This window comes from Homo sapiens, chromosome 12 (assembly GCF_000001405.40).
Source record: "Homo sapiens chromosome 12, GRCh38.p14 Primary Assembly".
NCBI lineage: Eukaryota > Metazoa > Chordata > Mammalia > Primates > Hominidae > Homo > Homo sapiens.
The window spans coordinates 102,107,280-102,131,519 of record NC_000012.12 but is presented as its reverse complement, the minus strand read 5'-3'; the positions used below and the strand labels follow the sequence as shown (position 1 = coordinate 102,131,519).

Sequence of the window (24,240 nt, the reverse complement as noted above, 5' to 3'; positions counted from 1 at the left end):
TAGAATGATTTATATTCCTTTGGATATATACCCAATAATGGGATTGCTGGGTCAAATGGTAGTTCTGTTTTTAGGTCTTCAAGGAATCTCCACACTGCTTTACACAATGGTTGAACTAATTTACACTCCCCCAACAGTGTATAAATGTTCCTTCTTCTCCACAGCCTTGCCAGTACCTCTTTTGTTTTTTCTTTTGAGACAGAGTCTCGCTCCATCACACAGGCTGGAGTGCAGTGGTGTAATCTCAGCTTACTGCAATCTCTGCCTCTCGGGTTCAAGTGATTCTAATGCCTCAGCCTCCCAAGTGGCTGGGAATACAGGTGCATGCCACCACACCCGGCTAATTTTTGTAATTTTAGTAGAGATGGGGTTTCACCATGTTGGCCAGGTTGGTCTCAAAATCCTGACCTCAAGTGATCCACCCACCTTGGCCTCCCAAAGTGCTGGGATTATAGGCGTGAGCCACTGTTACTTTTTGATTTTTTAATTATAGCCATTCTGCTGGTGTGAGATGATATCTTATTGTGGTTTTGACTTGCAATTTTTAATGATCAGTGATGTTGAGCTTTTTTTCATATGCTTGTTGGCCACATGTATGTCTTCTTTTGAAAAGTGTCTGTTCATGTCCTTTACCCACTTCTTTTTTTTAGGTTTTTTTTTTTCTGAGATGGTGTTTCACTCTTGTTGCCTGGGCTGTGGTGCAGTGGTGTGATCTCAGCTCACTGCAACCTCTGCCTCCCAGGTTCAAGTGATTCTCCTGCCTCAGTCTCCCGAGTAGCTGGGATTACAGGCGTCTGCCCCCATGCCCGGCTAATGTTTTGTATTTCTAGTAGAGATGGGGTTTCACCATGTTGCCCAGGCTGGTCTTCAACTCCTGACCTCAAGTGATCCGCCTGCCTCAGCCTCCCAAAGTACTCAGATTACATGAGTAAGCCACCATGCCCAGCTTTTTGCCTACTTCTTAATGGGATTTTTTCTTGTAAATCTGTCTAAGTTCTTTATAGATACTAGATATCAGACCTTTGTCAGATGTATAGTTTGCAAAAATTTTCTCCTATGCTGTAGGTTGTCTGTTTACTCTGTTGATAGTTTTGTTTGCTGTGTAGAAGCTCTCTAGTTTAATTAGATCCCATTTGTCAATTTTTGCTTTTGTTGCAATTGCTTTTGGCATCTTCATCATGAAATCGTTGCCCATGCCTGTGTCCAGAATGGTATTGCCTAGGTTGTCTTCCAGGGTTTTTCCAGTTTTGGGTTTTATATGTAAGTCCCTCATCTTGAGTTGATTTTTGTATGTAGTTTAAGGAAGAGGTCCGGTTTCAATCTTCTGCACATGGTTAGCCAGTTATCCCAGCACTATTTATTGAATAGGGAATCCTTTCCCCATTGCTTGTTTTCATCAGCTTTGTTGAAGATCAGATGGTTGTTGGTGTGTGGTCTTATTTCTGGGCTCTGTATTCTGTTCCATTGGTCTATGTGTCTGTTTTTCTACCAATACCATGCTGTTTTGGTTACTGTAGCCCTTTAATACAGTTTGAAGTCAGGTAGCATGATACCACCTGCTTTCTTCTTTTTGCTTAGGATAGCCTTAGCTATTTGGGGTCTTTTTGGGTTCCATAGGAATTTTAAAAGAGCTTTTTCTAGCTCTGCAAAGAATGTCACTGGAAGTTTGACAGGATTAGCATTAAATATATAAATTGCTTTGGGCAGTAGTCAAGTCTAGAGGCAAATCAGGAATGCAACCTCATTCACAATTGCCATAAAAAGAATAAAATACCTGGAAATACAGTCAACCAGGGAGGTGAAAGATCTCTACAATGAAAACTACAAAACACTGCTCAAAGAAATCAGAGAAGGTACAAACAAATGGAAAAACATTCCAGGCTCATTGGCTAGAAGAATGAATATCAAAATGTATTAAAGGCTTAAATTTAACATTTGAAACTGCAAAAGTCCTAGAAAAAAACAGAGGAAAAACTCCATGACATTGGTCTGGGGAATGGTTTTTTGGACATAAACCCAGAAGCACAGAAAACAAAAGCAAAAATACATGAATGGGATTATATCAAACTAAAAACTTTCTGCACAGCCAAGGAAACAATCAGCAGAGTGAAGAGACAACCTATGGAATGGGAGAAAATATATCCAAATCATGTATCAGATAAAAGGTTAATATCCAAAATATATAAGAAACTCAATAAGAAAACAACCCCATTAAAAAAAAAATGGGCAAAAGAGCAGGATGCAGTGGCGTATGCCCACAGTCTCAATTACTTCAGAGGTTGAGGCAGGAGAATTCTTGAGCCTAGGAGTCCAAGTACAGCCTGGGCAACATATTGAGACTCTGTCTCTAAATAATAAAATGAATTTTAAAAATAATCGTTTTTTAAGAATTGGACAAAGGATCTGAATAGACATTTCCAAAAAGAAGACACACAAATTGCCAAGAGGTATATAAAAAATGCTCAACATTACTAATCATCAGAAAAATGCAAATGGAAACCAAAATAAATTATGACCTGTTAGAATGGCCATTATTGAAAAGATAAAAGTGTTAAAAAAAAATGTGAAGAAAAGGGAATCCTTTGTATACTGTTGGTGGAAATGTAATTAGTATAAGCATTACAGTATGAAAGTTTCTCAAAAAATAAAACTACCATATGATCCTGCAATCCCAATACTGGGTATATATCCAAAGGAAATGAAATCAGTAGTGAAGAGAGATCAGGACTCCTATGGCCATTGCTGCATTGTTCACAATAGCCAAGATATGGAATCAACCTAAGTATCCATCAATGGATGAATGGATAGAAAATGTGGTATATATACACAATGGAATGCTATTCAGCCCCATAAAAGAGAGAAATCCTGTCATTTGTAACAACATGGATGTACCTGGAAAACATTATATTAAGGAAAGTAAGACAGGCATAGAAAGACAAACACCACATAATCTCACTTACAAGTGGTGTGTTAAAAAGTTGAACTTACAGGCCGGGCACGGTGGCTCATGCCTGTAATCCCAGCACTTTGGGAGGCCGAGGTGGGCAGATCACGAGGTCAGGAAATCGAGACCATCCTGGCTAACACGGTGAAACCCCGTCTTTACTAAAAATACAAAAAATTAGCCGGGTGTGGTGGCGGGTGCCTGCAGTCCCAGCTACTAGGGAGGCAGAGGCAGAAAAATGGCGTGAACCCGGGAGGGGGAGCTTGCAGTGAGCTGAGATTGCACCACTGCACTCCAGCATGGGAGACAGAGTGAGACTCCATCAAAAAAACAAAAGAGGTGAACTTATAGAAGTAGAAAGACAATGATGGTTACTAGGGGATGTGGGGACACAGTGGGTGGGGTGGATGGGGAGATACTCATCAAAGTATATACAGTTTCTGTTAGGAGGAATAATTTCAAGAGATCTATTGTACAACATGGTGTTGCTAGTTAATAACACTGTTGTATCCTTGAAAACTGTTCAGAGAATACATTTTAATTGTTATCACCACAAAAATGTTAAGAATGTGAGGTAATGCATATTAATTTGCTCAGTTAAGCCATTTCACAATGTATACATATTTCAAAATATATTGTACATGATAAATAAATACAATTTTTTGTCAATTTAAAAAACTAATTTTTTTTAAAAATTAAGTGATTTGTCTAAGGCCACTCAGTCAAAAGGCTGAATTAGGCTGTGAACCCAAGCCAACTGACTCCCTAGCATTTACTCTTAGCCATAATACAAACTGCTCTGTTTTATTAACAATATATTTTGAATATTTTTCCATGTCAATAAATGTACATGTACCCAAGCTATTTAATTATTGCACACTATTCTACTGGTGGTTTACAATGCTATATAGAACCAACCTCCAGGTCATATACATGTAGAATATTTCTAGTTTATTTCATTATTAAAAATGAATCTACTATGAAAAAGAAAGATACCAAATGATCAAATAAGCATTTAAACAAATTTTTAAACATGGTAGCTGTCCAAAAAAATAAAATGAAATACCATTTTTTAATCTTTTCTAATAAACTCTGACATCTAATATGGAAAGAGGGATAAAAAAATGGCACTCTCTTCCATTGATGACATAAATGTAATTTCTTTTTTTTTTTTCTTTTTTTGAGATAGGTTCTCGTTTTGTTGCCCAGGCTAGAGTGCACTGGAGTGATCTTGGCTCACAGCAAGCCTCAACCTCCCAGACTCAAGTGATCTCACCTCAGTCTCCCAAGTAGCTGAGACTACAGGCACACTCCACCACACCCAGCTAATTTTTGTATTTTTTTGTAGAGACGAGGTTTCGCCATGTTGCCCAGGCTGGTCTTGAACTTCTGGGCTTAAGTGATCTGCCCATCATGGACTCTCAGAGTGCTGCAATTACAGGTATGAGTCAGTGTGTCTAGCCCATAAATGTAAATTCTGACTGCCACGTGTAAGATAAAAATGTGTCTATCATGTAACTACTTAAATAAGGAACCTAAAAAACCTCTTGCTCAGTGCAAACATTTCATTTCAAGGCAAAACTATTCATAACACAAAAGAACTTCAGTCTAAAGATCCACCAATAAATAGAATATGGCAGTCATATTAAAGGAACATGTGAGAGTGATAAAATGAATAAATTAGATTAACTTTTCTGTCTATCACTACCTGAAAAGATCTTGAAAATAATGTTGGATGGAAAAAAACAAGATACAGAAAGAGCTGATACTGTTATAATTTTATTTTATTTATTTATTTTTGAGGTAGAGTCTCGCTCTGTCGGCCAGACTGGAGTGCAGTGCCTCACTGCAACCTCTGCCTCCTGGGTTCAAGTGATAATCCTGCCTCAGCCTCCCGAGTAGCTGGGACTACAGGCGCCTACCACTACGCCCAGCTAATTTTTTAATTTTTAATAGAGACAAGGTTTCACCAAGTTGGCCAGGCTGGACTCGAACTCCTGACCTCATGTGATCTGCCGGCCTCAGTCTCCCAAAGTGATGGGATTACAGGCGTGAGCCACAGCACCCGGCCCCATCTGTTACAACTTTAAAACAGACACACCAACAGTGCAATATGGCTAACTTGATTTGCAGAAAAACTTCCTGGTACAGAACACCTAAAACTACAGTAGAAAATAGAAAAACTTTTTTAAAGCATGACTAAATAGTCTATAAAAGAGAAACTACAAAAGGTCAAAAACAAAGAGAAAGTGCCAATATACAAGGGTAAGCAAAAGGTGGGGCTTGTGTTTGTTTCAAGGCATCTACTACTCCCTGGCACTCTAGAACCTAGTTTTTATAAACCCTGAGCGCAAATTTTGAAAGACAAAGGAGAGTCCAAAAAAAAGGTAGAAAGCTGAATCAGGAACCCTTTCTGCTCACCCCGCCACATAAAGCCAAAGCCTTTGAAAGGCAACACTCTTAATATGTCTCCTAGAAAAACAATCTGCCCAGTGGAAGGCATTGGTGAAGAGATTTGCCAATGAAGTGATTCTAGAAGTTATTCCAGTATTGTGCTTATCTCTCTGGGTAATCTTTGCTTTGATTTTTGCCTAATAATTAATTTCTGTTGAGGTAGGGGAGAATAATCATCTAACTTGGCAAAAAATTGAAGGTTCATTCCCTGGAGAGGGTAAAAAAGAGCCTCTAGACCAAAGAGTACAACTGAGGGGCTCAGCTTGATCTCTTTGACGAAGTCAATTATCTGGTGTCTGAGCATCATATTCTTCTTATGGCTATTAGTTTACATGTATTTGTATGATCCTCTACATAATGTCTGCCTTATCTACTAGGTAATATGTTTCATGATGGCAGGAGTCAAGTCTAGTTTTGCTCACCGTTTTAACCCCAACATATATCACAATGCCTGGCTTATAGTAGAAGCTCAAAAATAGAAAAAGAGAAAAAAGTAATTAGTGGAGGGAAGGAGATTAACATTTATTCAGACAGCTGTATTGGCCTTTTTACTGTTCCTGGAACATCCAGGCATAGAGCCACCTCAGGGCCACTACACCTGCTCCTCCCTTTGCCTGCGGTAGTCCCTTCCCATAAAAATCCCCATGGCTAATGCCCTCCCCTGTTTCAAATCTTTGCTCAAATGGTACTTTCCAGGTGAGGCCTTCCCTGACCACCCTATTTCAAATTCCAACAACCCTTTCACCCCAAAATCTGCATATTCCTTAGTCGCATGTTTTATTGTTTTCTGTATGTTTATTATGTACATATTAATAACACTATTATTAATAGCATTTATTATGTCCTAAAAGACTAAATATCTTACAGTACTAGCTATCTCTCCCTAGAAGGTTCACTCCATAAGAAGTGACTTCTTTCATTACTGTATTCCCAATTTTTACAATGATGTCTAACACACAGTAAAAACTCAATATTTGTTCAAAAAATGACTGACTACATAAAATAAAATAACATTTTGTCATTGTTTTCGAGATTCAAAATTTATCTTAACATGCATTGTTTAAAATATGCAAAACTGCCAACTATTCACAGGTAGAAAACACTATCCCTGTTTTAAGATTTTATACTTTTTAATTTTTAAGTGTTAAAATATTCTTCCTTTTTCAAAATGATGATCATAGTATATAGTAACTATTTTTTCTCAATGGCCTTATTTGCAAAAATGAGAAATGGTTAAAATCTGTCAGTGTCTAATAATTTTTTAGAAATTTTACTGTCTATGGAATCTAAAAATCTGGAAACTACTGACATATAAAATTAAAATAACTCATCAGAATGTCATTTCAATATCTAGCCCAACAGACCCATTGAAGCTAATTCTACCCTTCAAAAATCCTCTTCTCTAGTCAAGCCAGTATCTTTGCCAAGTTCATACCATGACTTTGATTCCCCTGAACCCTTCTTCTGAACTGACTTTCCTCATCATACCTCCTCTACAGCCTTCTCTTCCTTTATCTAAAATCTATCTAATATCACAAAGCCTTTCCTTACCACTCTATCCTACATTCATCCTTCTCTCATCTGAACACCTCTAACCCTTAATCTACGGCTTAAATCCAAACGCTAGTTTGGCTCAAGCTACCTAAGTAAGAATCACTTTGTGGAAATTTTTTAAAGGCAGTTTCCAGTATCCCGGTGCAGATTGGAAGAATTTCCAGGATTGGGGTACAAGAGCCAGTAGTTTTTAAAAGTTTAGGGAATGAAAAAAGTCTTATTAAATAAAAATAATTTGACCACAATAATAATAGTTACATGTTTATCCTAAATCTTCCTATTAAACATCAAATATGCATGTCCCGTGTATAACCATACATAAGAGCTTAATTTTGAAATAATTCATTTCAAATTCTATCATAACATTCTGACACAGATACACAGAGGCATTTGTGAAAATGGTGTATTATCACAGAAGGGCACATAATGTAAAGAAATTAATATTCTTAAGCTTAAGTTTATTCAAATGGGCAGCAATGAAATTTTGCTTTAAAAAAACAAGTTAACCCAAATATAGTTTACCAACCTGTTTGTTGTTCTCCGCCATAGAAAGCTGCAATGCCAAGAGCATGGAGTCTGCACCACATAGAGTAGTTCTCTCAGAGTTACAAAGAGCACGCCAATTTTTTCGAAACTCTTTAATCATATCCGAGACAGACTTCTGATTAAACACAGCCATTATCTTAAAGTAGGACAGAATACAAAGTTAAAGTATCTTATGTTAACCTGAAATTAACATTTAACATGTATAGGCAAGCACAGATAGAGAAAAACATATAGTGAATGAGAGGTCATTTCATATTTACCAAGATTGCTTTTAATTAAATTTAGGAAAACAAAATAATACAATTTCTGCGCAATCATATTTCCCTCCCCTTTGGTTTCTTAAGCCAAACCTTCTGAAAGAACAAAATGTAGCCTTCAATTCTGAAAATTCACACAAAAACAGACATGCAAATTTACTGCAAACTTATAATTACAAATATACCTAATTAAAGCTGTATTTAAATATATATATTTGTTTTGAGATAGGTAATAAGTCTGATAAATTGGGAAAAAAAAAAAAAAACCTAAAAAGCCAATTTCCTCCCATCCTACGTTGTCCCAAAAGAGGTGGCCTATTTTTCTACCCTTTTGAATCTGGACCAGGCTTGTGACTTGATTTAACCAATAGAATGTGGCAAGAATGACGCTGTGGGAGTTCTGAGCTTAGGCCTTAAGTGGTGTGTGCAGAAGTACTAATACAATAGGCCTGAATGCTCTCCTTTGAAGCTGGAGTCCAGTTTGGGAGCTTAGATTTCAGGAGTGTTTCCAGTAAGAGTGGTTCACTGTGCTAAACTGTTCATACAAACAATATAGTTTATGCTAAACACTTGCGAGTCTGGAATTTTGGTACATGTCAGACAGTGGATGCCTTTGCATTTAGCCCCCAATAAAAACCCTGGGCATTAAGTCTCTAATAAGCTTCCCTGGTAGACATTTCACATGTGTTGTCACCACCTATTACAACAGGAGGAATTGTGTCCTGTATGACCACTAGAGTATCACCAAGCAGTGTCCCACCCAAACTGCTGATCCACAGAATCAGAAGGAAATGGTTATTTTAAAACCTTAACTTTTGAAATGGTTTGTTACACCGTACTACATAACCAATAAAATAACTAATATTTAGGAGCTAACTTGGTGGAGATACTTTTCAAAAGCTTAATATTGATTACCTCACTCGACTGTCATAAGTGTCCAATAAGACAGGTCTGTTATTATCCTTATTTTACCTAATAACCTCCACGTCACTCAGCTTGTAAGTGGACAAACAGCATAAACTTAATATGTCTAACTCTATAAGCTGTGTTCTTAAAGCATCATGTTAAGTAACTTCTCCTGATGCACACAAAAGCCTTTCAAAATAATTTGAGGTAGTGCCAATGTTTCATATACCCAAGACTATATAAGGCATCCAATTCCTTTCTCTGAGTTTACAGACATGCCTGCTAAAAGTTTTTTTCCTACTTTAAGTACTCAAGTCTCAACATACTCACATGCCCATCATCTTATTTTGGGTATTTTCCTGTACTTATTCCATTTCCTGACTCCTTCTGCTATCCTTTTCTTCTATTTTTATGTGGCATAAACAGAATCCTAGATGTTTACTTTGGTTTGTATAATCAAGAGCAAAGATACATGCCACTTGCAATATAATTAAATTATAGACACAATCTATGATGCAACTTAAAGATACAGGTAGAAGATTAGAGATTAATTATTTACATAAATGCAAATCCTAGTAAATAGCTAAGAATTGTATTTCTCTTCAAAAAATCACCCTCATCTCTTGAAAGAAAAAAGAAAGTGAAGAACTGTCAGCTTCAGTGACATGGTCACTTTGCCTGAAATACATTTTTAGGAGTAAATTACTTACTGGTATTATTTAAAGGTAGTATTATGAGATTTGATTGCTATGAATGAAGACTCACTTGGGAATTAGGCCATTCTGAAATGTGGCTCCACCACTTACTGGCTGCGAGATCTTGGCCAAGTTACATCACCTTTCCCTGCCTCAGCTTCCTCATAATGAAAATGAAAACCCTATCCCATAGGGTTTTATGACAAGTCAACGACATAAACACAAGTAAAGCTTTTAGAACAGTGCCTGGCATGTATAAAAGCACATTAGCTATTATCATGCATTATGAGTTTCTAAGTTGTTTTGAGTTAAAAGTAAAAGAGCATTGCCTGGGCATGGTGGTTCACACTTGTAATCCCAGCACTTTGGGAAGCCGAGGCTCACCTAAGGTTAGGAGTTCGAGACCAACCTGGCCAACATGGTGAAACCCTGTCTACTAAAAATTAGCTGGGTGTGGTGGTGTGTGCCTCTAACCCCAGCTACTTGGGAGGCTGAGACAGGAGAATCGCTTGAACCAGGGAGGCGGAAGTTGCAGTGAGCCAAGATAGCACTACTGCACTCCAGCCTAGGTGACAGAGTGAGACTCTGTCTTAAAAAAAAAAAAAAAAAAAAAAAAAAGAGCATTACTATGGTGACAGAAAACCAAGAGTCTCATTCAGGGATCAGCTAATTTTTTCTAAAGGAACAAACAGTAAATATTTGAGGCATGCACAACTACTCACTTTGACCTTCTAGTGTGAAAATAGCCATGGACATACATAAACAAACAAATGAGTATAGCTGTGCTCCAATAAAACTTTTTTTATGGACACTGAAATTTGAATTTCATGTAATTTTTACACATCACAAAACATTATTCTTTTCATTTTTTCCCCCAACCATATAAACACGTAACACTCCTTCTTAGCTCAGGAGCTGGCTGCACAAAAACAGGCAGCACAGCCAGTTTGCCAACCCCTGGTCTAGTCCCAGCTCTTCCTGTAGCTAGCTGGCTGTGGGAGCCTATGCCATAAGCCTTACACGTGGTTCCTAGGTGGAGGCATCATCACACAGAAATACTTGCCTTCCAGTCCCTTGTGAGAAGTCAATGAGACAATAAATATGCAAGCACTCTGAATGGCAGGCTGCACTATACAAAAAAACAGTAGCCAAAGGCAGCAGCGATAACACTTGTTTTTAAAAAATTGGATTCCAAGTTGCTCTAGAGCAAAAACTGTGAGACAGAAAATTGTCACTGGGCAGGCAGTGTGAAATGGTTGAAAGAACTACACTTCCGAGTCAGATATCACTTCCAGGCTCCCCCTTTATGACCTGTAGTCCTTCGGTATTTAAAATCTCTAATGAGCATAAGTTTCTTCACCTGCAAAACCAGGAAGGGAATTCCTACCTCACAGAATGAGACGTTAGTGAAACAAGTACATAACCCACCTAGTGCCAGGCATTTAGTAGGTGCTCAATTTAAAAATTGCACTCAACATCATTATCAGTGTTCGAGTGCAAGTCCCAAAGGTTCCTTGGGAGGCTGTAACTAATCAGGAGTAGGAGAAAGTTGAGGAATTGGAGTCCGTGTACATAGTGGGACTAGAACCCAGGTTTCCTGCCTAACTAATGGAAGTTAAGCAGGCCTCTACGGGCCTGTCTTCCAAGCTGCAGACGAACCCTCAGGACCTACCAGCTCCATCGCTAGATACTGTGAACTCCGCCTACAGCCCCCAGGCCCAACCAGGCTCGAGCGTCAAGTCACTGCACCATAATACTTCGGTCCCACGGCACTTTGCTACGACCGAGGTATTACAGTGCAAAACACCCTCAAAAGCCACAGCCTGAATCACCACTTAAAAATGCGACAGGGCAGGTAGGGCAGACGCGAGACTTACGTGATTAGGGGTAGACCCGAAGACGTACTCTTCAGTGTGCGGAAGGATCCCCAACGGGATGCCCTCCCGCGGCCGCCGCAGTCGCCGCTGTCGCCGCTGAATACAGTTCAAACCTCGCGGGAGGCCCCGGGAGCCAATCGCTGCGCTCGCCCTCCGACCCGGAAGCAGAGCCACAGCGCGTCGCGGCAGCCCCCAAGGAAGACCAGCCTGCCTCTGGTCGGTTCCTGGCGCTCTGCGGTGCGTATCGAGCTGGGAGCCCGAGAGGCCGGGATGCTTTTCTGCCGGCCGCCCAGCCTTGCCACTCTATTCCCAGGAGTTCTTCCTTCCCACTTCGGGCCCCGGGAGGTGGGAGCGGGGTCTTGAGGAACTCGCCTGGCCCGGGGAGAGGTGTCGGCGCTCATTGCAGAGACTTATCTTGTTCCCTCCCTTCTTCTCTGCCGTTGTAGTTTTACAGGGGCAAGTCCTGTCCAACGTGTACGGTGAGGCCCCGGCCACTGCTTTAATGAGCAGTAGGTGTAGGGACGGAACAATTTCGTGACCTCGAATCTCTTGCACTTCTATACCTCTCTGTCTCCGTGTCCATAACACTTGCTGGTCACCCTTCAAAAGTCTCCAGTCCCTGATGTCCATTCCTAAAGTTACTAGTTTATAAGCGTCTCGAGGTGGGACTCATTCTCAGTACATACTCTTAAGGTGCTTGATATGTTTGTTACTGAGTCCAGCTGTTTTCAGGACAACCCTTGTGTCGAATTTTTTAAAAAACCAAAAACTCTAAAACCCATAATTCTCATGTGGGAATGCTACTTCCAGAATGCACACTAGTCCCTGACAGGTTAAGGTCTTCTGCCTAGTTTTAAGAATATTATTATTTTAATTTTTAAGTTCCGGGATACGTGTGCGGGACGTGCAGGTTTATTACAAAGGTAAAACGTGTGCTATGGTGGTTTGCACACCCATCACCTAGGTATTAAGCTCCACATGCATTAGCTATTTATCCTGATGCTCTCCCTCCGCCCAACCCCCTGAACATTATTTTTATATCACACATTTTGGTACTCCTTAACAACAGATCCTGTATTTTCTATCTGTTTATATTATAGCCCTTTTCACGTTGAGTCATAACTATCCCTAAACTGTGGTCTCCTTCAAGCCAGGAGGCTGTTTTTTTCTTCATTAGCGCTGGTTCTCCACACACAATGAAGTCTTCCAAATCCTGGCCCTGCTTATGAGCTTGGCAAGTTAGTTAACCTACTGAAGCCTCAGTTTCTCCATCTACAAAATGGAGACCAGAGGTAGTACCTGCCTTTAGATTTGTACAGATACCAGATGTGATCATGTCAGTAAAATGCTTAATATGGTACCTACAAATAGTGGTTCATAAAAGTTATTAATTTTTATTAACATTTGCTGTTAAAATGATTCCATCTTCAGATGAAATACTATTTGTTTTAGATAATCTAAACAGAACTTTGCAGTGTTATTGTCTGCTAGAATCACAGATATGGGAAAGAGCTGTGGAGCAAATGTGGAACCATTAATAACTAGATTTAATATTTTTCCTGCAGTTTCTGTCCCTTGATAAGTACTTTAAATGTTTCTTTTGAGCTTTCTGTCTCATTGTAACACCACAACCTTATTTTGATGCATTTGCTGAATGACTAACATATTGACCATTGTAATTGTACCTGTGCTCTAATCCACAGTTTCGTGACCTTGTCCAGTAGAAGGCTATTTAATTTTCACAACTGCTTGAATTTTGACATACAAGATGAAGCAAGATGCCTCAAGAAATGCTGCCTACACTGTGGATTGTGAAGATTATGTGCATGTGGTAGAATTTAATCCCTTTGAGAATGGGGATTCAGGAAACCTAATTGCATATGGTGGCAATAATTATGTGGTCATTGGCACGTGTACGTTTCAGGTTAGTCTACAAAACTGCACCGAATGACAGTGAACATATTTCACTACTAAGAGAACTTACACAAACCAAATCTAAACTTTGAAAGTATATTGAGTTTGAATGTTAAAAAAAAAAAAGATAAGATCCATAGAGAAAGATGTTCCCAGTTATATGTGCCTGAGATTTATGTAAACATTATATAGATAGTGAAAAAGAATGGTATGAGGCTTCACTTTTGCCTCATGATCATTAATGGAATATTCTGATAAGTGAAGGCTATGATTAACTGAACATTGGTATGTACAGGAAAAAAACAATATAAATGAGATCCAATTAATTACGGTTTTTCTACATCCTGCTTTGACATACAAAACCAGCTAATGTTGAGAGCCCAAAAAACAATCTTCCAGGAGATTTTATAGCTTTTATAATATTCAGCTTTCCTATTAGTATGCTGTCATACTTTTTGTGCATCTAATGTATGCAGAATATGGAGTCATATTAATTGAGCAGGCAGTTAAGCATAGCCATTAAGAGCATGAATTCTAGAACTGGAATGCCTACATGTTTACTCCTGCTTTACTTACTTCTTACTAGCTATGAGACCTTGAATAAGATATTTAGCATCTCCTGTAAACATGAGGAAACTAATGCTTGAATTTTAGTATATGTAAATATACTAAATAAAAATTCCAAGAGGGCATCTGACAACATTGTAATCCATATGTATGTTTTAGTTGTCATTGATACGAGCAGTGGTAACACTCTCAGGTTTAATCACCAAAGTAAGATTGCTTTGTGGTGAACATAAACCATGTTTTCCCAGAGGAAAGCTAGTTTTACATGTAAGAGAGACTTGGAACAATGAAGGTTCAACCCTCAGGACTATCTGGTTAATCCTTTGTCTATCAGAGTATTATTATTATTTTTATTTTTTTTTTTCAGACAGAGTTTTGCTTGGTCGCCCAGGCTGGAGGTCAACCTCGGCTCACTATAACCTTCATCTCCCGGGTTCAGTTGATTCTCCTGCCTCAGCCTCCCAAGTAGCTGGGATTACAGGCATGCACCACCACACCCAGCTAATTTTTGTATTTTTAGTAGGGGGTTTCATGATGTTGGCCAGACTGGTCTCGAACTCCTGACCTCAAGTCATTTGCCTACCTCGGCCTCCCAAGTGCTGGGATTACAGGTGTGAGCCACCCTGCCTGGCCTAGCAGAATATTATTAATAGAACCGTATTTCTCAAATTATAATGAGCACGGTAATTTGGAAGTGTCCAATTTTCAAAGATTTAAAATAACTATCACTAAAGTGATAGTTATTATAAATGTTATTTCCTCCTTTACTGAGAAGGCAATTCTGTTTTTGTTTTGTTTTGTTTTGAGACGGAGTCTCGCTCTGTCATCCAGGCTGGAGTGCAGTGGTGCGATCTCTGCTCACTGCAACCTCTGCCTCCCGAGGTCAAGCAATTATCCTGCCTCAGCCTCCTGAGTAGCTCGAATTACAGGCACGTGCCACCATGCCCAGCTAACTTTTTTGTATCTTTAGTAGAGACGGGGTTTCACCATGTTGGTCAGGCTGGTCTTGAACTGACCTCGTGATCCGCCCGCCTCAGCCTCCCAAAGTACTGGGATTACAGGCGTGAGCCACCATGCCCAGCGGCAATTCTGTATCTTACAGTATTCTGACATCAAAAATGCAATTTGGCATTTTATAGCACAATGAATATATAAAGCTTTACAAATTGGAATATAGTCATATTTAAGAGGAAGTGTGAATTGAAAGTTTCAGTTTGTTGCTGTCTGAGTAGAATATGACAGCTCCTAGCCTATTTCGTACTGTCTGTTTGGGTGGGAGTAGAAATTAATAGCTTTTAGACTAAATATGACCCTAGCCTGACTTACATGGACATGGTTTAGGATCATAAAAAGTCATATGATTAAGACAATGTTACGTACTTGAAAAAGACTGAGGAAAAACCATTTCTCTAATGCAAGCCACCAATGTACAAAAGAGTAAAGCAGCCTCCTACAGGTAAAACTAATTTTTACTTCATTACTTTTAAAATTAATAACAACATAGGATTGTATTCGCAAACACTGAAAAATGTTTATCTCATTTATGATTAAGAAATGTTGAGGGAGAAAGTCAGTGGAGAACAAATTAGGAAAAGAGAGGCAAAGATGAGAGAGGGAGAAGTTGGGAGAAAGAAGGAAAATGACTAACATGAGAAAAAAGAACTAGTATAAACATTTGTGTTCTGTTATAGTTTATGGTCACATGTATTGTCTCAGTTACCCTCATACCTGTGAGATTAGCAATGTAGGTCTCGTGCCCAAATTACTAAGGAAAAAATTAGATTTTTATTAATTTGGACAATAGTAAACACAAATTATATTCTGCATCAGACATTGGAAATACAATTAAGTAAGTCCATTTCAAAATAAATTATTGCTTTTCTGTGGAGTTATTTTTTATCTAGCTAAACACTGTTAAACATTACTATTCTGTTGTCCTAGAACCTTCAAGTTCCATTGCACCCAGTTTCATGCCTCTTGTCTTGAGAGAAAACTAAGTAAAGGTAAATTAAGTGGAAAGATTTTCACATTCCTGACAGAAAGATAATCCTTATTTTAAGGCTGTTTAGAAAACGTTGTAGATATAGTGAATTTGAATTTCAATAAAGCATTTTTCAGAATCTCATGTTGTCCCTTTGATTATGATGGACATATGAGCTTCTGAATGATAGTACTGTTAACTGGTGTCGTGTATTTGTCAAATTTTCATTAAGTGCATACTGGGTGCCAAGACATGAAAAAAGCAAGGACCATATCCTTAAGGAAATATTTACATATAAAGCAGTGCAATAAGAAAACTGCTATAAAAACCTTTGTTAAAGGGCAGAGGAGCATGAACATATATGCTTGCCTAAATCAATGTTCTCATCCAAGTTCTACTAGAGGCCTCAATTCACTAATGAAGACCCCTTGAATAGACTTAGAAATCTGGTATGTATTTTACACTTTTTAAAGTGTACACATATCAAATAGAACTAGCCACATTTCACGTGCTTCATAAGGTCCTGTGTGGCTAGTGGCCACCATATCAGACAGCACAGTTCTCTCTGCATCTTCCTCTGTAAATCGACAGTAATCTTTAATATAATAATAATACTCTGTAGTTCTCAGCAGTATATTATGATTCAGAGAAGATAATGTATTTTAATACAAATTTCAGGGTAGTATCTAAATGTTTAAAACTGTGAAAGAGGTATTAGACTCAATGGTAAATGGATTTTATGTTATTTGTCATCTCTATTTGAATGGACAGAGTTGTTGCTTATAATGCTTTCAGGCTGAGGCTGAATCTGCTGCTTAGTGTGTCTTCACCTAGAGGAGATCAGCTATGGCCAGATATTTGTCATCATTAAGTTAGACTGATTTGGTGTGGTTCCAGAGATGGAACGTGGAATAATGAGTAGAATTTACATGGAAACAGATTTTGGCTTAACGTTAAGAACTCTTCTAATAATTAGAGCTATCCCCCAATTGAATAAACTTCCCAAAGAAATAGCTAGTTCCCTGTCACTGGAAGTGTTCAGAGAGGGGTTGTGTAAACTCTTTTTTTCAGATGCTCTCCTAGGGATTCAAGCATTGGGGGGAAAGAATTGAACTAGAGAAACTTCACAGTCTTGACTAACTGAAATTTGTATTTGGCCTTAAATGGGTGTGGTGGGAGGGCCTGCCAGTTTCAAACCCTTATAATAGCCCTTCCATCAACCTGGCTTTGCCCCAACCTCAAATATGCCGAAACCTTGTATAATCATTTGTATTATAGCAAGTTTTCCAAAGTATCTTAATTTCCTGCCTATACAATTCTGCTTATACCCCAAACTAAATCCAAAATAGCATTTGTCTCTGCCTATACCACACACACACACGGGCCTTTTAGTTGGCTCAGTGGCAAACAGTGCTGCCAGGAAAACAGGTTTCACTGGTAAAACAAAAAGCCCAGGCTGTACAGTCCCTGAGATTTCTTTATCCCCATGACCACCCAGTAATTCCATATGTGATTTGGGTAACAAATTAAAGGACTTGATTGTCAACAATATTGTTACAGTAGCAAGATGATGTGTATTTACATGCAAAAACTTCATTTTTAGGAGACTGATTTGTCAAGTTTGGAAAAATAGATGTAATCCAAACTGTGAAGTCAGCTATGATTAGGCTCCTAAACTTATTTTAAAATTGTTTAGTGGCTGCTGTCTTGGCATATCTGGCTGTTAGCTATACAACTATTATACACACAAATTACGAAGTAGTAAAATTTGACAGTGTTTTTCTTTCCTTGATAAGTGTATTTCTTTCATTTGTGGAAAAACTTTTTGCTGTTAACTCTTAAGTTCACCTGAAATTTGAAGTTATTTTCAAAGGGTATCTGAATTATGCAGAGAAAGATGTGTAGTATATTTGTGAAATGACTTTACTGGGATCCCATAGGCTATCCTGGAAAAATCAGTATATCTACTTGGATTTCATTCGAGTATACATTATAAAACTTTGCATTTAGATTCTGGGTGAATGGAATGCTTAGATCAGGCCTTCAAGTAATTCCTATCAATATAGACATACGTATTTCATTAAATATCAAGTTTCACCTGCTGGATTTTTTCCCTGATACTTTATAATACCATACACTTTTATAAAGAAAACTGTAGTTAGCACAGAAGATTCCTTGGACAAATTTGTCGCGAAAATTTGGCCTTCTTTAGTCTCAAACCCAGTTCAGGTATTGATTTAAATAACAGAAGGATGATTTACTTATTTTTAAAATTGCAAAATTTTTTTATCATTTTCTTTTTTACCTTTCCTATGGTGCTGAGCAGTATTTTAATGCTTATAAAAAATGTGTTATCCATAAAGGCATAAAGAGTAATAAGATGGATCCCTGTATACCTGCTGCTTAGTTTAAGAAAAGGAACATTAGCAATTCTTTTGAAGCCCCCTAAGTATCCTTCCCTTACTCATGGTAGGTATTTTGCATGGCAGGATTTTCTTTTTGTTTGTCTGTTTTTTCCTGCTTTCCCCTTAATCGGGCCCTGGATCTATGCAGAAATCTCTGATCTGGCATCCTTCCTTGTGCAGGCACTAGGATTTGTCTCTTCTCTCTTGCAAACTGAAGCTTTAAATCATTGCATGTAGGCAGATACCCTTATAACAGCTGCATACCTTGGTAGTCGTTTGCTTGTCTGTATTTGAATTTTTGCAATGTTGTAATGGGAGAACTTTTCAGGTTATTGTCTCCATTGCCAGCGACAGATGGCTTGACTTTTAAAGTTGATTTTTTTTCTCACCTTCCCGTGAGGATAAACTGAAATCATTTTAGTAGGGCTGAACTGGATAAATAAGCCAACTTTATTAAGCATTTATTCCCAGAATCAAATATCTAAAACTAAATTAGCCAGATTATTTATTACATATTCACTATTCATAAACAATAATAGTTCAGATGAATTATTTGTAGCATCTTACACACATATAATGCCACATGTAACACTACATGAAAATCATTGACACTGATTATAAAGACTTTGAGGTCTTTATAAGGTCCCAAAGTATTTTCCATGTAGTGAGAATGTACAGTGTATTTTTTTAATATTGTCAGTAGATAATCCGGTTCTGGTAATTCATTTACCTAGAATATCTTGATTCTTTAGAGCATTCCATTTTCTTTGTTTTCTTTTTTTATAACGTAGACACAGGTCTCACTGTGTTGCCCAGTCTGGTCTCAGACTCCAGAGCTCAAGCAATCCTTCCACCTCAGCCCCGCAAAGTGTTGGGATTATAGACGTGAGCCAACACGCCTGACCAAGCAGTCCATTTTCATTGAACTTATTATGAAATGCCTCCTAAGATAAAGTAGAACATGTTTACCATTTGTTTCTAGTTGCCTTAGAGAGTTATTTTGTGAGGCTTAGACAACTTTGGATTTTTTTTTAATTCAATGAACTAGTTAAATCTTAATATGTAATTTGCTTTTGAACTTTTCAAAAGCATAAGCATAACCTCCTGATAAATTCATTATAATGAAATACAGAATATTATATTGTTTGTTCTCATTACTTATTAAAACATTTACTGTGTATGCTTAGGAAGAAGAAGCAGACGTTGAAGGCATTCAGTATAAAACACTTCGAACATTTCACCATGGAGTCAGGGTTGATGGCATAGCTTGGAGCCCAGAGACTAGACTTGATTCATTGCCTCCAGTAATCAAGTAAGTTTAACAGTACCAAATGCATTCCTTACTAATGTACTTTGATTGTGTTACATGATTGGAAGTCTGATCATAGATACTTTTTTCTCAATTTCCATTTTCCACAATCCAAGATATTAGATATTTTGATATTTGCTACTACTTAATAATTTAGGCTTATCATCTGAATTTGTGATTTAAATATACAGCCATGACTATGATGCCTTGACCATGTGTTTGAGCCAAACTACAAAACCTTTTACGTGAGATTCATCTGAATCAAGGTCTTTACAGATTGTTCACTGAATTTACAACTTTATTGAAAGTATAACTTAAAATAACTAAATTTGGTTGAGACATTAATGAGCTTTCCTTCCCCACCCATAGGCCAAGATCACATTTTTTTGTCCAACAGTATATAAATCTGTAAGTTCTGGTCCTGGACTTCAGTTTTTGTGAAAGTGTTTAAAAGGAATGATGGTTTTCTGAGAAAAAAATCCTAGCAATGCCTGCTGAAGCCCTCTTTACAGGGGCAAGAATATGTTAGGTTATTTAAGATCTGTTACAAAACACTAGCCTTGCCTTCTACAAATGTCAAATCTAAAAGATGTGTCTTCTTTTAGTAGACAGTACTTAGGAACTAAAAGTTATCAACTATTAAGCTAACTTCGTTTTTTTTAAATTAAGGGATAATTTAGATACTCTGAAATTCTCAGCTCTTAAGGGTATAGTTTGATCAGTTTTGACAAATACGTATATTTGTACAACCCACACCCTATTCATGCACTGTTTCTGTCACCCAAGAAAGTTTCGTCATACTTCTTCCCAGTTAATCATTGTACCCCACTCCCTGCAGAAGCAACCATTGATCTGATTTCTATTACCAGAAATCAGTTTTGCCTATTCTAGAACTTCATATAAGTGGGATCATACAGAATGTCTTTTGTGTCTGGCTTGTTTTTGCAATTTTTCCACATTGTTATGTATACCAGTGCTTTTTAAGTAGTACTCCATTACAGTGTATCAATAGACCATAGTCTGTTTATTCATTCTTCTGTAAATAGGTACCAATACAGTTTCTAGGCTTTAGTTATTATTTTTTGCTGAATACTGCTTTGGGTGGTTATATGATTTAATTTAGGAGTAGAATTGCTGAGTCACAGGGTAGATGTATGTTTAACATTTTAAGAAAATGCCAGTTTCTAAAGTGGTTCTACCATTTTGTCTTTTCCCCAATAATCTAAGGGTGGTCTTCCTACTCTCCAACACTCATTCATTCATTTTGAGACAAGGTCTGGCTCTATTGCCCAGGCTGGAGTACAGTGGCACCATCTCCACTCACTGCAATCTCTGCTTCCCAGGCTCAAGCCGTCTTCCCACCTCAGCCTCCTCCTGAGTAGCTGGGACTATAGGCGCCCATCATCATGCCTGGCTAATTTTGGTATTTTTTGTAGGGACAGGGATTTGCCTGTTGCCCAGGCTGGCCTCAAACTCCTGAGCTCAGGCAATCCATGTGCCTTGGCCTCCCAAAGTGCTGGGATGACAGCATGAGCCACCATACCTGGCCTATTCTCCAATATTTGCTATTGTCAATCTTTCTTTTTTTTTTTTTTATTTTTTTGGTACATGGTCTCACTCTATCTCCCAGGCTGACAGCCAGACCCATAATCACAGCTTACTGCAGCCTCAACCTCCCTTGGCTCAGCCTCAACCCTCCCTCTCACCTCCGCCTCCCAAGTAGCTGGAACTACAGGCATGCACCACCACTCCCGGCTAATTTTTTGTATTTTTTGCAGTGATGGGGTTTCGCCATGTTGCCCAGGCTGGTCTCGAGCACCCAGGCTCGAGCAATTCACCTACCTTGACCTCCCAAAGTGTTAGGATTACAGGCATGAGCCACTGTGCCCAGCCTGTCTTTTTAATTTTAGCCATTCTGGTTGATGCCACAATGACATTTCCATGATGAGTGATAATGCTGACGCTTTTTTGGTATATTTGTTTCTTCTATTAGAAATCTTTGTGTGATTTCTTATAGGTTGTGAAGATGTTGCATGTTTTTTCCTAGAAGCCTTTACCGATATTTAGCTAACTTAATTGAATAATCTACACAATAGCTTTTGTCAGCACACGTAATGTCATTGCCAACAGCTGGTGTGCTGTTGATTTCCTTTTATATTAAAAGAAAGTGGTCACAATATCTAGACCTAAACAAGAACAAGTCTCTTTGATTCTTTAAATTTTTAAAGCTGTGGAAACAGTCTTCTTCCCTTGGTTTTAAGTTTTGTGATACCTCTTTAATCTACATATTCAGCTGTTGTATTCTATGCTTTCCTTGTTGCTTAGTACTTGTTTTCCTGTCCTCTTTTTAGTGAATTTGCTGTGTTTCATCATTTCTGGTTGGTGTTTTTGTTTGGTTGGATTTTTCTTATTTTTTGGTAAACTGTCTCAAGACCTTTTTGGAACTATACAAATTCAGTAACAAATTCAAAAGACATTAGCAGGCCATTAATTTTAGACTATTTTTAGAGCAACCTGAAGGCACAATCTTGTTTTCAAATAAATTATTTTTATTATAAAATAATGAATGCTTAATAAAATTTAGAAAACACAGAAAATAAGGAGAAGAATGCCACCTATACTCCCAATACCCTTTTCATTTTTGTACATAATTGTACATAATTGTGATTATACTATAGTAACTCTCTGTACTTTCTTTACTTTGCTTTTTTATAGTATTCTAAAATAAATAGTAGTCTATCACCATGACTAAGGTATAACTCAGCATCTCTCTTATCATCATTAATTTTTATCTTACATTTAGAAATCCTTCATGATGGCTTATCATTAGCATGTAGTTGCCTTAAATTCTCTTTCTCCCTGCCTTTCTACTCTTTCCATCCCTACTTGCTTTTCTTGCGTAGTGGCTAGAGAATTCATTGTTCATGTTATTTCAGTTCTCTGAGGTTTTCTGGTTCAATTAAAGAAGGACTTAAATATCCCTGAAACAGCAAGGATTCAAAGAAAAGTGGGGCAACACAAGGCTGGCCATAAAGTTTTCTGGGTTTGTTTGTTTGGTTTTATTTAGATCCCAGTAAGATTATTAATTTTCTTTTTAAGTAAGTATTCTTTGATTACTGTAACTCCTCTATTTGCTGACATTTTTACTGAACTTGGCTTCATTTTGCTATTAATACCTCTTTACAAACCCTTTTAGTTGGGATGTTTCTTTTAACAACTTCCAAAATAGCTTTTATCTGTTTTAGAGATGACATTTTGAACAAAGTTTTATGATTTCATTATGCTATAACTGAGGAAATCCGTAGGAGACCCTCAACATGAGTGATATTATTGTGGCAAATTTGTCTAGAGTTTCCTATGAGCAAATAAATAATGAATTCCCAAAATAATAATTGGACAAATTCAAAGGAGAAGAATTAGGTAGAATAAGCTTTGTTTTACAGTTTTTCTTACCCTTTATTTGCATGTATAAAATATAACATACGTGTTTAAACACACATAGAGTATGTATTAGGGTTCTCTAGAAGGACAGAACTAATAGGATAGATGTATATATGAAGGGGAGTTTATTAAGGAGTATTGACTCACACGATCACAAGATGAAGTCCCACAATAAGGCGTCTGCAAGCTGAGGAGCAAGGCAGCCAGTCTGAGTCCCAAAACCTCACAAGTAGGAAAGCCAACATTGCAGCCTTCAATCTGTGGCCTAAGGCCCAAGAGCCCCTGACAAACCACTGGTGTAAGCCTAAGAGTCCAGAAGCTGAAGAACTTGAGTCTGATGTTCAATGGCAGGAAGCATCCAACTACAGGAGAAAGATGAAAGCTGGAAGACTCAGCAAGTCATCTCCTTCCACCTCCATCTGTCTGTTTTTTCTAGTTGTGCTGGCAGCCAGTTGGATCGTGCCCACCCACATTATGGGTGTGTCTTCCTGAGGGTGGGTCTTCCCCTCCCACTCCACTGACTCAGATGTTAATCTCTTGACACCCAGATACACCCAGAAACACCCAGATACACCCAGAACCAGTACTTTGTATCCTTCAATCCAAGCAAGTTGACACTTAATATTAACCATCACAGAGTATATATGTGCATTTTAACATGTTTATTATAAAGTAAACATTCATGAAATCACAGAGGTCAAGAGATAGGACATTACTAACACTTGAGGCTGCCAGTGTGCCCCTCTCCAATCAGCCTTCTTCCTTCCCCTTAAAGGCTATCAGTTTCATGTTTATTAGGATAATCATCTCCTTGCTTTTTTTTATAGTTTTATCAGTTACTGATGCATCCTTAAGCAATATAGCTTAATTTTGCCTGCTTATGAACTTTCTTATGAATATAATAATACTATATGTATTTTTTTGTCCTGCTTTGTTCACTTCACATTATATATATGAGATTCATCCAAGTTTCTACTTGTAGATCTAGTTATTTATTACTATGTAGTATTTCATTGTGAGTCTGTTACAGTTTATGCATTCTATTAATACTATATTTGCAGTTTGGGGTTATGAATGTACTGTTTGAGCATTACTGTGTGTATATATCATAATGTCCATGTGCACACTTGGACCACCCTTAACATACTTGAAACATTTTCCCCCAACAGCCGACACGTATTTCTTCAGTGTTTCTTAGGCCTTTTCTTTCGCCTCCTTTTCCCCTTTTTTTTCCTTGTCTTGTCCACTTGTGAAAGAAGTGTGAAGAATGGTTGGGGAGATAGACTGACAGGACAACCAAAGGGAAGCTGACTAGCCTAGACAGGGGATGTTGAACTAAATTGGGCAAAGTTCTGATATCAAAACTTGGGCATTAGCAACCTATCATACC

The 24,240-nt window shown here is 38.0% G+C and overlaps 2 protein-coding genes across 89 annotated transcripts in view, besides 2 other annotated features; one reads left to right on the top strand and one right to left on the bottom strand.

Annotated features, from left to right (window-relative positions):
* The window catches only part of PARPBP (PARP1 binding protein), a 77,338-nt gene extending 66,001 nt beyond the window's left edge, over positions 1-11,337 (bottom strand). For 72 of the 87 annotated variants that reach the window (XR_007063095.1, XR_007063096.1, XR_007063097.1 and 69 more), the window contains exons 1-2: positions 11,234-11,337; positions 7,479-7,634 (exon numbers count right to left, since the gene is read on the bottom strand). Coding sequence is in view for 58 of the 87 variants with exons in the window: in NM_001319988.2 (NP_001306917.1) it covers positions 7,479-7,631 (153 nt within the window). In the remaining 29 variants the exon portion in view is untranslated. Of the gene's footprint in view, positions 1-4,220; positions 4,374-7,478; positions 7,635-11,028; positions 11,142-11,233 lie in introns of those variants that run through there. The other 15 variants (XM_011538514.3, NM_001400876.1, NM_001400869.1 and 12 more) reach the window with 3 other exon arrangements.
* Positions 9,934-10,491: an enhancer, noted in NCBI's record as "H3K27ac hESC enhancer chr12:102514807-102515364 (GRCh37/hg19 assembly coordinates)". NCBI's record gives its function as "activates a minimal SCP1, AML or CMV promoter by ChIP-STARR-seq in naive H9 embryonic stem cells {active_cell/tissue: H9 hESC(naive)}" and the evidence as "EXISTENCE:reporter gene assay evidence [ECO:0000049][PMID:30033119]".
* Positions 11,338-11,405: 68 nt separating the features above from the next.
* NUP37 (nucleoporin 37) overlaps positions 11,406-24,240 on the top strand; it is a 47,012-nt gene continuing 34,177 nt past the window's right edge. For both annotated transcript variants that reach the window (NM_024057.4, XM_047429530.1), the window contains exons 1-3: positions 11,406-11,470; positions 12,937-13,157; positions 19,288-19,412. In NM_024057.4, coding sequence (NP_076962.2) covers positions 13,002-13,157; positions 19,288-19,412 — 281 coding nt within the window. In that variant the 5' untranslated portion in view covers positions 11,406-11,470; positions 12,937-13,001. The remainder of the gene's footprint in view (positions 11,471-12,936; positions 13,158-19,287; positions 19,413-24,240) is intronic.
* Positions 11,536-11,605: an enhancer, noted in NCBI's record as "active region_6879". NCBI's record gives its function as "activates an Ori minimal core promoter by ATAC-STARR-seq in GM12878 lymphoblastoid cells {active_cell/tissue: GM12878}" and the evidence as "EXISTENCE:reporter gene assay evidence [ECO:0000049][PMID:35858748]".